Genomic DNA, 16,903 nt, shown 5'->3' with positions numbered 1-16,903 from the left:
AGGGCATTATTTGGTCAAATGTATACACCCTTGATTGGGGAAAAAAAGTAATTCAGAGAAATTCTTTCTGTAACAAATTTTTCAGATCTCAGAAGATTTATAACTAACCCTATTTAAAACTGATTTTTGTAGGCAGATTTTATCAGCTCCCATGGAAAAAAAAATACAATAACAAAATAGAAAGTGATGTGATTTAAGTAGGTAACTTTCTGTCAAACCTCCTTAACATACAATTATATCATGGAAAATACTGAGAAATCAGTATCAATCTTATCCCTGGCTCAGACTACCCCCTAAAATCTCAGCAAGATGTTTGACATGCACTAATGACTTCATTCTGTCTGTTCAAGTGTCCTCTCCAACTTGAGAAGCTCTCCCTTCTCCTGGTGTCTATGATCCAAGGCTGTCTCCTGTTTACCCTCAGCCTCCTTCCCCAGTGTTTACTCAGCACTGGAACATCCTACCCAGGCCTACTGCCCTTAAGGCTGGTCTGCATGTAGAACCCATATTCATCCAATCTTCTGTCAAAAAATTGACTTCTGTAACTAACGGTAGAGTAGAATGAACTCTTTTGTACAATTTAACTTCAGTAAATGAATTTCTAATTGCCATTTTTACTTTAGGTCAGAGGCTGTAAAACTTGAAGAAAGGAGCCAAGATCGCCAGAAATACAGTGGTGGTATTATAGCAAACATGAGATCCTAAGTCCTTTTTCAAAGCGTGCCTGCTCCCTGCAAGAGGAGGAACAGTGGCCAACCCACTCAATCAGCTGTTGCCATGTGGGACCTGTGGTAAGAGTCAGCCGGTGTGCTGGAATCTTCTTATCATGTCCTGTAAACTCTGTCCTTACATTGGCCTTCTGGCACCCTCACGTAACATCATTCTATTGATTCAGGGCAAATGTATTAGACAATACCACTGTGCCAAACAATAATATGTTGAACTTTTATAGTAGAGAATGAACTCTAAAATTGGAGAAAAAACTGTGGCCAGTTAAGAGAGTATTTCATTTGATCACTAAAACAAAAATTGGAAGAACTACTCTACAGAGTAGTTGCAAGCATTATGTAGGTAATATAAGCAAAATTGTTTTGCAAATTAAAAAAATTCAAATATATTTACATTGGTATTGAATTTGAATGAATGCTTACAATGATTATTCAAAAACTTTTTAAGCTTTTGAATCATCCAAGTTATATTAATTTATAATATTCAGTGGAACAGAGAACTTTATTCCACAACAAATTTGGGTAAAGTTCTATTATACCTAATACATTTACTACCTTAAAAATACATTTTATATTTCTTTACAAATTGCCTTCACACCATTTTTTCTTAAATACAACAGTATGTAAGCTCAGTCCCACTGTTATTTGACTACATATTAATTTAGTTATTATTCTTAAATACCTAAAAATTGTCTGACTCTTTTCCATAAGATCCTGACAGATGCTGAGAGTTTAGACTTTTTCCTTCTCGGCTTAAAAAAGCAGTCTCTCTTAATGCTGTCTGGGAATATATTCCTAAACTGAATAGTTACATTACTCAAGGATACACACACACACACACAAATAACAGAAAGGAGATGCATTATGCGGCTTTTTTGAAAAAGGATTATCTATAACAATTGATTTCATTCCATTTTATGTCACTATTTTATGTAGAGTCATCGACATCAACTTATTTCACTTTTCTGAGAGGTTTGTGAATGAAATTTATGCCGACCCTTGCTTAAATTTTTACTACTTTCATTTTTTAACAGCTGTTGTTACTTTCACAATGCAATCTTAAACCTTTGTGGTTTTTCTGTTTCTGCAGAAAATTTATGCTATTAATAGTATCAAATCATAAATTTTAGTTCGATGACTTTGAGTACTAGGTCACGTGACTTTTTGAAGAAATACTTAAAATATAGACACATTTCTTTAGACAACTAAATACTCACCCATATTTGTCTGGATATAAAGAAAAATTTTTCCCTCTGTAGTTAATTGGTATTTGGGTGCTCTAATAAACTATGCCTCTGCGAATATATGTCCTCATTCGGACCCCTCCCCTTGATTCTGGGCTGGCCCTTTAATATACCTTAATCAATAAAATGTGGCAGAAGCAACTGTTTGCCAGCTCCATGTCTATGCCTTAAGAAGACCTGGTAATGTTTATTTTTGCATTCTGCAGAAACCTAGCTACCATGCAAAAAGTCTGACTGACTCGAGATTACCATATTGTGAGGAAGTCCAAGCTAACCACAGGGAGGGGAACTGAGAAACCTAAACAACAGTGAAAACTGAAGTCCGAGATAGATGGCCCAAGCTGAGCCATCATGGGTGACACTACCAGGGGCCAAGACAGGTTCTCTCTAACAAGCCTGTCCAAGTCACAAAGGTGAGCTAGTAACCAAAAGGGATAGTGTTTAAACTTTTATGTTTGGGGGTAATTTGTTATACAAAAATAGATGACCAAAATACCTTCCTAAAATTTTTCACCCGAAAAGTAATTTGTTCTGTGTCAGAATCTTAAAAGCCTCACATATTATGGGTCATGTACTTTCCCAATTATTTTATTTTGAACAGCACTAATTGAAGGAGACACTTTAGCTGAAAACGTTTTCAGTGAATGCGATACCTAGGTTTAAAGCTTCTATTGCATACTGCACCTTTGTGTGATTATAACATTACCACCCTTAGACCTAGGTAACTTGGGCCCCTGCCTTCAATGCAGTACTTCTTGTTTTTGTTTGTTTGTTTGTTTTTGTTTTTCCGCTTTCTGCTTTTTGCCAAATTCATGCAAGGCCCCCAAGTCAGCTAGTGTTCCTGGAGCTTGTCTTTTTTCTTTTTTTTTTTTTGTCTTACTGTCTGAGCCAATAGGCTTTGAATTTCAGTATCTCTCCTTCTTCCACTGTTCCCTCTTTCTTGCCAACTCTTTCCATTCATAATAATACCCACACTATCTATGTAGGGTGGCTGTCTCTTTAATGATGGTTAGTGGGCCCATTTATTGTGATGACACTGCAGATGAGTTCTAGAAATCCCATTCATATAGTTACCTGGACAAGACAGTAAAACATCTGATTCTGCCAACGCCCAGGACTTGGTATTCTCATCAAGATGTCATCGAACACTATGTCCTGAAAATCTGCGTAATTTTTTGGTTCTTCTTTTTGTGCTTAAATAGAATTGATGTATAGCATGTATAATGTGTGGCAGATAACAGTTAGCTAAGGTAAGATGTGTCAGCATTTGGTGTCCAAGTGAGATAGAACAGGAGTTATTTAAGATTTTTAGGTTACATGAACATAAGAAGACCTGGCATTTTGATGCATGTAGAAAGATATTGATATTATAATAAACAACGTCTTCCACAGGAAGATACACTTCATTCAGCAGTCCATCAACATGAACTTTTAAAAATTTTAAATTGTATTAGGAAGGTTTTTAGAATAAAATTTCAACTCATGTTCAACTTACTAATGTTCCATGCATGCATATCTTGGCTAATAATGATAAAAGAACTAGGAAAATACAGAAGAGTCTATTTTGTTGCTGGAAATTCTTTTGGGAAGGAGGTCTTCCTTCTAATTCTTCCAGAATGAAGATGAGGCAGAATTCAAGGGTGATACCAAGGGCCCACTCACAATTTCTCTTTCATGGGAAAACAGTGTAGTGCTGAGGGGCATTAGTAAGAATTTGGCAGACACTTGTCCTAATTCCATGGGACAAAGAAATAAAGGCAAAGGTAGGTGTCGGAATAGGGGCACCCAACTAGTTCTTGTTGTGAGATCCCAGGGCACTGTCTTCCATCACTTAGTCCCGGGTTGCTTACAAAAAAAAAACAAAAAACCAAAAACATTGAAGATCTTTCAAGTTACACCCAGTTATTCTGATTAAGAAGCTCTGGTATGAGGCTTAAGAATGTAAATTTCCAGCAAGTTCCCTGTGATTTTTCCTCTAAATTCTTGAGAAAATGATTGTTCAGGGGCAAACATAATGACACCAAATGGAAACTCAGGGAGACGTATGGTTTCTCTGTCTCTTGGACTCTATCTGAAGCTGTTTCATTCTGTAGCATGAGAAAAGAGGCTGAATATCTCAAATCTGGTCTAGTTTAGACTAAATACATAATTAGGTTTAGGAAGGTTCTGCTTATGTCAACAGGCTCATAAAACCCAAAGAAGAAAGCACAGAGTCAACATTTCCTTTCTGGGGCGACACTCAGCTAAAATTTAGGGAACCTCAGATTTCTGCACTATTGAATGGTAAATCAAAAGTAATCTCATCCAGTTTATGTCAGGGGAAAAGTCTAAAATTTTGTCAGGGGAAGGGAGAGTGAAGAAATAACACAACCTGGTAGCATTTTGAAATGTGAAAGTATTATGAGAATTCATGAAGAAAATCAAGTTATCTACAAGAAAATAAATATCAACTATGGCTTCAAACTCTTCTTTAATATTAGATGCCAGAAGAATAGACTAATGTCTGCACAACTTAAAAAAGCTGCTGAAGAAGGCAAAGATATTAGTTTCTCATTAAGGTTGATATTAATATGTAAGAAAATAGGAAAAATCAGACATACAAACTCTACAAATACAATGCCTGTGTTTCTTTCCACTAAGAAAATGCACAAGGACCTATTTTAGGCTAATGATTAATAAAACAATATAAAGAACTCCCAAATAAAAAAGCCACTAGGCGGAGCTTGCAGTGAGCCGAGATCACACCACTGCACTCCAGCCTGAGCGACAAAGCGAGACACCGTCTCAAAAAAAAAAAAAAAAAAAAAAAAAAAAGCCACTGGGGCCGGGCACAGTGGCTCATGCCTGTAATCCCACCACTTTGAGAGCCTGAGGAGGGCAGATCACCTGAGGTCAGGAGTTCAAGACCAGCCTGACCAGCATGGCAAACCCCGTCTCGACTAAAAATACAAAAAATTAGCCAGTTATGGTGGTGGATGCCTATAATCTCAGCTACTTGGGAGGCCGAGGCAGGAGAATCGCTTAAACCCGGGAGGTGGAGGTTGCAGTGAGCTGAGATCGTGCCATGGCACTCCAGCCTGGGTGACAAGAGCGAAATGCTGTCTCAAAAAAAAAAAAAAAAAAGCCATGCTATAGAAGTAAATGTGAGAATTGCATTCATTTAAACATAATGATATTTCATTTAAACATACCTTGTATATAGATAATTGTATGTCATAAATAGTTCTTTGAATAAAATATATAAATAGAATATTAGAAATGATAACTTGACAAGAATAAACTTACTGGAAGTCTTAGATTATGCCTTATAAAAACTAGAAGGTAAAAAATAACAAAATTTTAGGAGGAAGAAAAAGTATACTGATTTAACTCTTTTTACACTAAGAGAACATATTAGATAATGTGTAATTCTTAATTTTTATAATTATAGAAATAAGTCTTTAAATGTGACTCAAAAAATTCATGAGTAAATGATTAAGCTAACATATGTACAAAACAAATTAGGAAAGAGGAAATGGAGAGGGAAAGAATGAAAGGGAAAGAAGGAGGAGATAAAACATCAGATAAAGCAGCATTTCAATGCATATTAACTCAATGTGATGAGAAGGGTCAGATTTTATTGCTACAGGGTCAATTCATAACACAGTTATTAGGAGAAAGAATGTGGATTAATACAGCAATGGAAAGTTGGTGGAATCTACTCTCAGAGATAAAAGCAGGAGGCAGAATGCGAGTGGAGTTGATTTAGGTAACAGTAATGGGATTGCTGGGTCAGATGATATTTCTGGTTCTAGATCCTTGAGGAATAGCTGCACTGTCTTTCACAATGATTGAACTAATTTACACTCCCACCAACAGTGTAAAAGCATGCCTATTTCTCCACATCCTCTCCAGCATCTGTTGTTTCATGACTTTTAAATGAGCGCCATTCTAACTGGTGTGAGATGGTATCTCATTGCGGTTTTGATTTGCATTTCTCTAATGACCAGTGATCATGAGCTTTTTTTCATATGTTTCTTGTCTGTATAAATGTCTTCTTTTGAGAAGTGTCTGTTCATATCCTTCGCCCACTTTTTGATGGCGTCGTTTGTTTTTTTTTTTTGTAAATTTGTTTAAGTTCCTTATAGATTCTAGATATTAGTCCTTTGTCAAATGGATAGATTGCAAAAATTTTCTCCCATTCTGTAGGTTGTCTGTACATTCAGATGATAGTTTCTTTCACTGTGCAGAAGCTCTTTAGTTTAATTAGATCCCAGTTATCAATTTTGGCTTTTGTTGCAATTGCTTTCGGTGTTTTAGTCATGAAGTCCTTGCCCTTGCCTATGTCCTGAATGGTATTGCCTAGGTTTTCTCCTGGGTTTTTATGGTTTTAGGTCTTACATTTAAATCTTTAATCCATCTTGAGTTGATTTTTATATAGGTGTAAGGAAGGGGTCCAGTTTCAGTTTTCTGCATACGGCTAGCCAGTTTTCCCAACACCATTTATTAAATAGGGAATCCTTCCCCATTGCTTGTTTTTGTCAACTTTGTCAAAGATCAGATGGTTGTAGTTGTGTGGTGTTATTTCTGAGGCCTCTGTTCTGTTCCTTTGGTCTATATATCTGTTTTGGTACCTGTACCATGCTATTTTGGTTACTGTAATCTTCTAGTATAGTTTGAAGCCAAGTAGTACGATGCCTCCAGCTTTGTTCTTTTTGCTTAGGATTGTCTTGGCCTTATGGGCTCTTATTTGGTTCCATGTGAAATTTAAAGTAGTTTTGTCAAATTCTATGAAGAAAGGCAATGGTAGCTTGATGGGAATAGCATTAAATCTATCAATTACCTTGGGCAGTATGGCCATTTCCACACTATTGATTCTACCTATCCATGAGCATGGAATATTTTTTCATTTGTTTGTGTCCTCTCTTATTTCCTTGAGCAGTGGTTTGTAGTTATCCTTGAAGAGGTCCTTCATATCCCTTGGAAGTTTTATTCCTAGGTATTTTATTCTCTTTGTAGCAGTTGTGAATGGGAGTTCACTCATGATTTGGCTTTCTGTTTGTCTATTATTGGTATATAGCAATGCTTGTGTTTTTGCACATTGATTTTGTATCCTGAGACTTCGCTGAATTTGCTTATCAGCTTAAGGCGATTTTGGGTTGAGATGATGGGGTTTTCTAAATATGCAGTCATGTCATCTGCAAACAGGGACGATTTGACTTCCTCTTTTCCTAATCGAATACCCTTTATTTCTTTCTTTTGCCTGATTGCCCGGCCAGAACTTCCAACACTATGTCGAATAGGAGTGGTGAGAGAGGGCATCCTTGTCTTGTGCCGGTTTTCAAAGGGAATGCATCCAGTTTTTGCCCATTCAGTATGATATTGGCTGTGGGTTTGTCATAAATAGCTCTCATTATTTTGAGATATGTCCCATCAATACCTAGTTTATTGAGTTTTTAGCATGAAAGACTGTTGAATTTTGTCAAAGGCCTTTTCTGCATCTATTGAGATAATCATGTGGTTTTTGTCATTGGTTCTATTTATGTGATGGATTACGTTTATTGATTTGCATATGTTGAATCAGCCTTGCACCCCAGGGATGAAGCCGACCTGATTGTGATGGATAAGCTTTTTGATGTGTTGCTGGATTGGTTTGCCAGTATTTTATTGAGGATTTTCGCATTGATGTTCATCAGGGATATTGGTCTAAAACTCTCTTTTTTTGTTGTGTCTCTGCCAGGCTTTGGTATCAGGATGAGGCTGGCCTCATAAAATGAGTTAGGGAGGATTCCCTCTTTTTCTATTGATTGGAATAGTTTCAGAAGGAATGGTACCAGCTCCTCTTTGTACCTCTGGTAGAATTCGACTGTGAATCTGTCTGGTCCTGGACATTTTTTGGTTGGTAGGCTATTAATTATTGCCTCAATTTCAGAACCTGTTATTGGTCTATTCAGAGATTCAACTTCTTCCTGGTTTATTCTTGGGAGGGTGTATGTGTCCAGGAATTTATCCATTTCTTCTAGATTTTCTAGTTTATTTGCATAGAGGTGTTTATACTATTCTCTGACAGTGGTTTGTATTTCTGTGGGATCGGTGGTGATATCCCCTTTATTATTTTTTATTGCATCTATTTGATTCTTCTCTCTTTTCTTCTTTATTAGTCTTGCTAGCAGTCTATCAATTTTGTTGCTTTTTTCAAAAAACCAGCTCCTGGATTCATTGATTTTTTGAAGGGTTTTTTGTGTCTCTATCTCCTTCAGTTCTGCTCTGATCTTAGTTTATTCTTGCCTTCTGCTAGCTTTTGAATTTGTTTGCTCTTACTTTTCTAGTTCTTTTAATTGTGATGTTAGAGTGTCCATTTTAGATCTTTCCTGCTTTCTCTTGTGGGCATTTAGTGCTATAAATTTCCCTCTACACACTGCTTTAAATGTGTCCCGGAGATTCTGGTACGTTGTGTCTTTGTTCTCATTGGTTTCAAAGGACATCTTCATTTCTGCCTTTATTTCGTTATTTACCCAGTAGTCGTTCAGGAGCAGGTTGTTCAGTTTCCATGTAATTGTGCGGTTTTGAGTGGGTTTCTTAATCCTGAGTTCTAATTTGATTGCACTATGGTCTGAGAGACTGTTTGTTATGATTTCTGTTCTTCTGCATCTGCTGAGGAGGTTTTTACTTCTTAAGTGATCAATTTTAGAATAAGTTCGATGTGGTGCTGACTAGAATGTATATTCTGTTGATTTGGGGTGTAGAGTTCTGTAGATGTCTATTAGGTCTGCTTAGTGCAGAGCTGACTTCAAGTCCTGAATATCCTTGTTAATTGTCTGTCTCATTGATCTGTCTAATATTGATTGACAGTGGGGTGTTAAAGTCTCCCATTATTATTGTGTGGGAGTCTAAGTTGCTTTGTATTTCTCTAAGGACTTGCTTTATCAATCTGGGTGCCCCTGTATTGGGTGCATATATATTTGGGATAGTTAGCTCTTCTTGTTGAATTGATCACTTTACCATTATGTAATGCCCTTCTTTGTCTTTTTTATCTTTGTTGGTTTAAAATCTATTTTATCAGAGACTAGGATTGCAACTCCTGCTTTTTTTGCTTTCCATTTGCTTGGTAAATCTTCCTGCATCTCTTTATTTTGAGCCTATGTGTGTCTTTGCACATGAGATGGTTCTCCTGAATACAGCACACAGATTGGTTTTGATTCCTTTTTTTTTTTTTTTTTTGGAGACAGAGTCTCACTCTGTTGCCCAGGCTGGAGTGCAGTGGCGTGATCTCAGCTCACTGCAAGCTCTGCCTCCCAGGTTCACGCCATTCTCCTGCCTCAGCCTCCTGAGTAGCTGGGACTACAGGCGCCTGCTACAATGCCCAGCTAATTTTTTGTATTTTTAGTAGAGATGGGGTTTCACCATGTTAGCCAGAATGGTCTCGATCTCCTGATCTCGTGATCCACCTGCCTCGGCCTCCCAAAGTGCTGGGATTACAGGCGTGAGCCACAGCGCCCGTCCTGGTCTTGACTCTTTATCCAATTTGCCAGTCTGTGCCTTTTAATTGAGGCATTTAGCCCATTTACATTTAAGGTTTATATTTTTATGTGTGAATTTGATCCTGTCGTTATGATGTTAGCTGGTTATTTTGCCTGGTAGTTGATTCAGTTTCTTCATAGTGTTACAGTCTTTAGATTTTGATTTGTCGATGGTACCAGCAGTGGCTGGTACCAGTTTTTCCTTTCCATATTTAGTGCTTCCTTCAAGAGCTCGTGTAAGGCAGGCCTGGTGTTGACAAAATCCCTCAGCATTTGCTTGTCTGTAAAGGATTTTATTTCTCCTTCACTTATGAAGCTTAGTTTGGCTGGCTATGAAATTCTGGGTTGAACATTCTTTTCTTTAAGAATGTTGAATATTGGCACCCACTCTCTTCTGGCTTGTAGGGTTTCTGCAGAGAGATCTGCTGTTAATCTGATGGGCTTCCCTTTGTGGGTAACCCAACCTTTCTTTCTGATTGCCCTTAACATTTTTTCCTTCATTTCAACCTTGGTGAATCTGACAATTATGTGTCTTGGGGGTGCTCTTCTCAAGCAGTATTTTTGTGGTGTTCTCTGTATTTACTGAATTTGAATGTTGGCCTGTCTTTCTAGGTTGGGGAAGTTCTCCTGGATAATATCTTAAGTGTGTTTTCCAACTTGATTCCATTCTCCCTGTCACTTTCAGATACACCAATCAAATGTAGGTTTGGTCTTTTCACATAGTTCCATATTTCTTGGAGGCTTTGTTCATTTCTTTTCATACTTTTTTTCTCTAATCTTGTCTTCACACTTTATTTCATTAAATCGATCTTCAATCTCTGATATCCTTTCCTCCACTGGATCAATTTGGCTACTGATACATGTATATGCTTCCCAAAGTTCTCATGCTATGTTTTTCAGCTCCATAGGGTCATTTATGTTCTTCTCTAAACTGGTTATTCTAGTTAGCAATTCCTCTAACCTTTTATCAAGGTTCTTAGCCTCCTTGCATAAGGTTAGAATATGCTCCTTTAGCTCAGAGGAGTTTGTTATTACCCACTTTCTGAAGCCTACTTCTGTCAATTCATCAAACTCATTCTCTGTCCAGTTTTGTTCCTTTTCTGGCAAGGAGTTGTGATCCTTTGGAGGAGAAGAGGCATTCTGGTTTTTGGAATTTTCAGCCTTTTTGTGCTGTTTTTTCCTCATCTTTGTAGATTTATTTACCTTTGGTCTTTACTGTTGATGACCCTTGGGTGGAGGTTTTGCATGGTGGTCCTTTTTGTTGATGCTGTAGCTATTGCTTTCTCTTTGTTAGTTTTCTTCTAACAGGCCCCTCTTCTGCAGTTCTGCTGGAGTTTGCTGGGGGTCCACTCCAGACCCTGTTTGCCTGGGTATCACCAGCAGAGGCTGCAGAACAGCAAAGATTGCTGCCTGCTCTGTCCTCTGGAAGCTTTGTCCCAGAGGGGGAGCCTCCTGATGCCAGCTGGAGCTCTCCTGTATGAGATGTCTGTTGACCCCTGCTGGGAGATGTCTCCCAGTCAGGAGGCATGAGGGTCAGGGATCCACTTGAGGAGCCAGTTTGCCCCTTAGCAGAGCTTGAGTGCTGTGCTGGGAGATCCACTGCTCTCGTCAGAGCTGGCAGGCCAGAAAGTTTAAGTCTGCTGAAACTGCACCCACAGTTGCCCCTTCCCCCAGGTGCTCTGTCCCAAGGAGATGGGATTTTTTTTTAATAAAATAGCTGTATTTTAATATTTATTGGTATTAGGCTCACATTTGAAAAAAAAGTAGCAGAAAAAAGACCAAAGTGCAATATGATAGGTTGGTTTCATATACATAAGAATTTTCAAATAATCTTATCTATAAGCCCCTGACTGGGGCTACTGCCTTTCTTTCAGAGACTCCCTGCCCAGAGAGGAGGAATCTAGAGAGGCAGTCTGGCTACAGTGGCTTTGCTGAGCTGTGGTGGGCTCCATGCAGTCCGAACTTCCCAGTGGCTTTGTTTACACAGTGTGGGAAAAATCGCCTACTCAAGCCTCATTTATGGCAGACGCCCCTCCACCCACCAAGCTCTAGCGTCCCAGGTTGACTTCAGACTGCTGTGCTGGCAGCAGGAATTTCAAGCCAGTGGATCTTAGCTTGCTGGGCTTTGTAGGGGTGGGATCTGCTGAGCAAGACCACTTGGCTTCCTGGCTTCAGTCCCCTTTCCAGGGGATTGAACAGTTCTGTCTTGCTGGCATTCCAGGCACCACTGGAATAAAAAAAAAAAAAAAAAAAAACAAAAAACTCCTGCAGCTAGCTCAGTGTCTACCCAAATGGCTGCCCAGTTTTTTGTGCTTGAAACCCTGGGCCCTTGTGGTGTAGTCACCCAAGGGAATCTCCTTGTCTGTGAGTTAGGAAAACCATGGGAAAAGCGTAGTATCTGGGCCACAATGCACCATTCCTCATGGCACAGTCCCTCAAGGCTTCCCTTGGCTAGGGGAGGGAGTTCCCTGACCCCTTGTGCTTCCTGGGTGAGGTGATGCCCCACCCTGCTTTGGCTTGCCCTCTGTGGGCTGCACCCATTGTCTAACCAGTCCCAGTTATATGATTTGGGTACCTCAGTTGGAAATGCAGAAATCACCTGCCTTCTGCATTGATCTCGCTGGGAGCTGCAGACCAGAGCTCTTCCTGTTCAGCCATCTTGCCCAGGAATCCCAGGTATTATTATTAATACCATTTTATAAAAGGGTAAACTGAGGCACAGAGCGATGAAGCAATAGCTAGTACATGGCAGCAACCTCTTCACACTTTGAATATCCTAACCATCATTTTCATATCTCTCTAGCAATCCTACACCAGAACTACATTCTAGAACTATGATATCCTGTCATCCAGGTACTGAGCATAGTACTCAATAATTAGTTTTTCAACCTTTGCCAACTCCACCAGTAGTTTCTGTGTCTATTGTTGCCATCTTTATCTCCATGAGTACCAAATGTTTAGCTTCCACTCATAAATGAGAACATGTGGTATTTGGTTTTCTTTCTGTGTTAATTTGCTTTAGATAACAGCCTCCAGCTGCATCCATGCTGCTGCAAAGAAGATGATTTCATTCTTTGTTCTTAGTATTGCTCATAGTATTCCATGATGTATATGTACCACATTTTCTTTATCCAATCCACCATTGATGGTCACCTAGGTTGATTTCATGTATTTACTATTGCGAATAGTGCTGCAATGAACGTGCGAGTGTGTGTGTGTTTTTTGGTAGCAAGGTTTGTTTTCTTTTGTGTATATACTCAGTTATGGGATTGGTGGGTTGAGTGGTAGTTCTAAGTTCTTTGAGGAGTCTCCAAACTCATTTCCACAGGGGCTGAACTAATTTACATTCTGACAACAGTATATAAGTGTTTATTTTTCTCCACAGCTTTGCCAACATCTTTTGTGGGTTTTTTTTTTTTTGACTTTTTAATAATAGCCATCCTGACTAGTGTGAGATGATATTTCATTGTGGTTTTGATATCTCTCTGATGATTAGTGGTGTTGAACGTTTTTTTCATATGTTTGTTGGCTGCTCATATGTCTTCTTTTGAGAAGTGTCTGTTCATGACTTTGCCCATTTATTAGTGGGGTTGTTTTTTGCCTGTTCAGTTACTTAAGTTCCTTATAGATTCTGGATATTAGACCTTTGTCAGATGTGTAGTTTGAAAATATTTTCTCTCATTCTGTAGGTTGTCTAATTTGTCGATAGTTTGTTTTGCTGTGCAGAAGTTCTTTAGTTTAATTAGGTCCCACTTGTTAATTTTTGTTTTTGTTGTAATTGCTTTTGAGGACTTAGTTATAAATTCTTTCTCAAGGCTGATGTTTGGAATGGTGTTTCCTAGGCTTTCTTGTAGGATTTTTATAGTTTGAGACTTTATATTTAAATTTTTAATCCATATTGAGTTAATTTCTTTATACGGTGAAAGGTAGAGGTCCTATTTCATTCTTATACATATGGCTAGCCAGCTATCCCAACACTATTTATTGAATAAGGAGTCCTTTTCCTATTGTTTATTTTTTCTTCCACTTTGTTAAAAAATTAGATGGCTGTGGGTATGTGGCTTTATTTCTGGGTTCTCCGTTCTTTTCCATTGGTCCATATGTCTGTTTTTGTACCAGTACCATACTGTTTTGGTTATTGTAGCCTTACTGTATAGTTCAAAGTTGGGTAATGTGATGTTTCCAGCTTTGTTCTTTTGGTTTAGAATTGCTTTGGTTATTCAGGCTCTTTTTTGGTTTGATACAAACTTTAGACTAGTTTTTTTTAGTTCTTTGAAAAATGACATTGGTAGTTTGATAGGAATAGCATTGAATCTGTAGATTGCTTTGGGGAGAATGGACATTTTAACAATATTGATTCTTCCAATACATGAGCATGGAATGTTTTTCCATTTACTTGTTTCATCTATGATTTCATTCAGCAGTGCTTTGTAGTTTTTCTTATAAAGCTCTTTCACCTCCTTTGTTAGATGTATTCCTACGTAGCCATTGCAATTGGGTTGTGTTCTTGATTTTGCTTTCAGTTTGAACATTATTAATATGTAGAAATATTACTGATTTAGCGATATTGATTTTGTATCCTGAAACTTTGTTGAAGTCATTTATCAGAGTTTTAACTTCTAATCCAGAAAGTATTGATAAATAGTAACCCATGCAAATAAAAGCTCTTTATGATTCTCAATAATTTTTAAGAGTCTAGAGAAATCCTGGGACCAGATATATGTCCACTAGAAAACAGCCATTATATTGATATCATTTTATGACTACAATGTAATACAACTACCAACTAGTTGAAAAATACATTTTGAAAAGAATTCAACTACTATGAAGATAAAAATATCCATGTTTGTCTAATTGAAAATAAAAATGTAAAGCTCAACAACTTTAGAAATTGCAATAATGAATGTCCTATTTATATACTCTTGAGATTTGCCCAATGAAGAGGCTCAGAGACAGATTCCGAGCCTTAAGTGTTGATATTATTAATTAAGTAATGCACATAAATTAAGTAAATTAAAAGCAAGATGAATAAGAAAAAAAACCTAAACCCAAAAGGAACAAGAGACTATCAATACAAATGAAAGTATAACTAAACAACTTATGCATCAGAAAAAATTGTAGATACACAGACATATGTTTGTCTTAGAAAAAATATGATAGATATACTCTAGAAAATTGTATTCAAGAAATGAGAAGAAAGGTATCAATACAAACATGTAAGGGCCGTGCTCTTCAGAACTCTTGCTTGAGAGACTATTCTAGCTCTGCCATTGGTCTACTTGGGAGTAACTCAATGGCATGGCGCTGTTTTTTTCATGTCATATATTACCTAACTTATAGTAAATGTAAACTACTAAAGAGTTCTTGTTTATTTGTTTATTGTTTTATGAGAGAAGAAATAAACTGACCTATGGAAACCATGAAGTATGCAAGGTGACTTTCTATGCTTACCTTTTTGTGCTCTTTCCTGAGGCCAGATACCACTTTCCTCTCTTTTAATCCTTGACATGACTTCAAACTTTTCTTTCATGTGGAAATATAAAATATTAAAACTTGGTTAAATAGATTGTCCATTCAGAGGTATTAAAATTTTAATAGAAATAAACTACTATGCTCAAAAGATGAATTTTGGAATGTAAATATAAAGCCTTGCCCAGAATATATGCTTTAAAATGGATTAAGTTTTCGATTAATAAAATTTTACTTAATACTATTAGAAAAGACTTTTTCTTATACTTTTGGGGCAGAAAAGAACTCGGGATCTGTTTTCTCAGCCATCCTTGGTATATCAGTCTTCCTTTGTTTTCTTTTCTTTTCTTTTTTCTTATTTTTCTTTTCTTTTTTTCTCCCTTCTCTTCCCTTTCTTTCTTTCTTTTTTTTTTTTTTTTTGTGTGTGTGAGACAGGTTCTTGCTCTGTCACCCACACTGAAAAGCAGTGGCACAATCGCAGTTCACTGCAGCTGAACCTCCTGCCCCTGGGCTCAAGCAATCCTCCCACTTCAGCCTCCTGAGTAGCTGGGATTATAGGTGCATGCTATCATGCCCAGCTAATTTTTGTCCTCCCAAAGTGCTGTGATTATAGGCATGAACCACCATGCCTGGTCAACAGTTTTATTTTCTACCCAGACTTAATCCATGTTCTGAGGAAGAATAAAGTCCTTGAAAATGGCCTTGATATTTACTTTCATTTCCTTTTGTCTGGTCAGCTCTTCTGGGCAGTTCCCATTTGTTTTTCTATCCTTCTCCACTTTCCTTGTGCTCAAGAGGCTAATCTTTATAGACAGCATGAAAGGACCCACTTGTCCTTTAGGGTCCATTTGGATATGGCTGTTGAGAAGCACCTACAAGTATTTGGAGAATGGGTAAGTGCAGGATCATGGTTTTTCCTTCTCTGAATTTCTCCTTGTCAGGTTGTCAAGGCTTAGCTCCATTGCTCTACTGAAAATCATAGCTCCTGACAGACAATTGCCTCGTTCTTTTTTATAGATACATATTCTGGGTTCCAGTAACCACTCCCTCCTCTTGCTCCTTTTTGACAAAGTTTTCCTAATGTTGGTAGCCGTGGGGTACTCTACCATCTTCTGTTGATTTTTTAAAAATACGTTCTACCTAACTTTGTAAATTTTCCCTCTATCAAACTCTTCTCAATAAACCTATTTGAATGTGTCATCTTTTTTACTCCTAAGACCATAATAAAAATAGCATACACTAAATTTCTCAAGTAGAGAGTATGTTCTTCAGTTCTTTACTGATATGATAATGATGCGTATAACTACAACAAGGGCAACCATACTGGCTAGCATTTAATAAATCCATGTGCTAGACACTATTTTAAAAGCATTACATGGATTGATCAAATCTTATAATTTCCTTATAAAGTTAGATATTATTATTAATTCCATTTCATAAAAGTGTTAACTGAGGCACAGAGAGACTAAACTATAGGTAATAAGTGGTGGCAACCTCTTCACACATTGAATAGCCTCACCCTCATTTTGATATCTCTCTAGTAATCCTACACTCATTAACTCTTAGAAATGGGAATAGGGCATTCTAGACTTTCCAGATTAGTTTTATTATTGACTTTTTTTTAACAATTTAGCTGATTTTTTAAATCTGAAATAAGTTTAATACCCTTGTAAGAATTCACATTAATATATCTATACATTATTAAATTACACATTATTTGGTTTGACAATTTATGCTGTTATCTATTGCTTTAGAAAATATGTTTAAAAACACCATTATCTTGGGATGTGTGGTTCCTGCTTTTGGGCCTCTTCCCTCCACGTCCTCACTCCTCAGGTTATCAATGAACATTGCAATGCCCAGCTTTGTCTCCGTTGTCTGCATAAATCTGTACTAATTAGAAGGGGAGGTCTGAAAAGGAGCAACCAACCAAGATAATCTGGGAATGACATAATATAAGAAG

At 37.5% G+C, this 16,903-nt stretch overlaps 1 long non-coding RNA gene across 2 annotated transcripts in view; it reads left to right on the top strand.

The window, feature by feature from the left end:
* Window positions 1–16,903, top strand: part of LOC101927329 (uncharacterized) — a 154,205-nt gene that overhangs the window by 100,070 nt on the left and 37,232 nt on the right. For both annotated transcript variants that reach the window (XR_242624.4, XR_929946.3), the window contains exons 3-4: window positions 624–791; window positions 2,179–2,385. This is a non-coding gene — a long non-coding RNA (uncharacterized LOC101927329). The remainder of the gene's footprint in view (window positions 1–623; window positions 792–2,178; window positions 2,386–16,903) is intronic.

Source organism: Homo sapiens, chromosome 9, assembly GCF_000001405.40.
Source record: "Homo sapiens chromosome 9, GRCh38.p14 Primary Assembly".
Classification (NCBI taxonomy): Eukaryota; Metazoa; Chordata; class Mammalia; order Primates; family Hominidae; genus Homo; species Homo sapiens.
The sequence above is the reverse complement of the archived record's forward strand: the minus strand, read 5'-3'. Positions and strand labels throughout refer to the sequence as shown.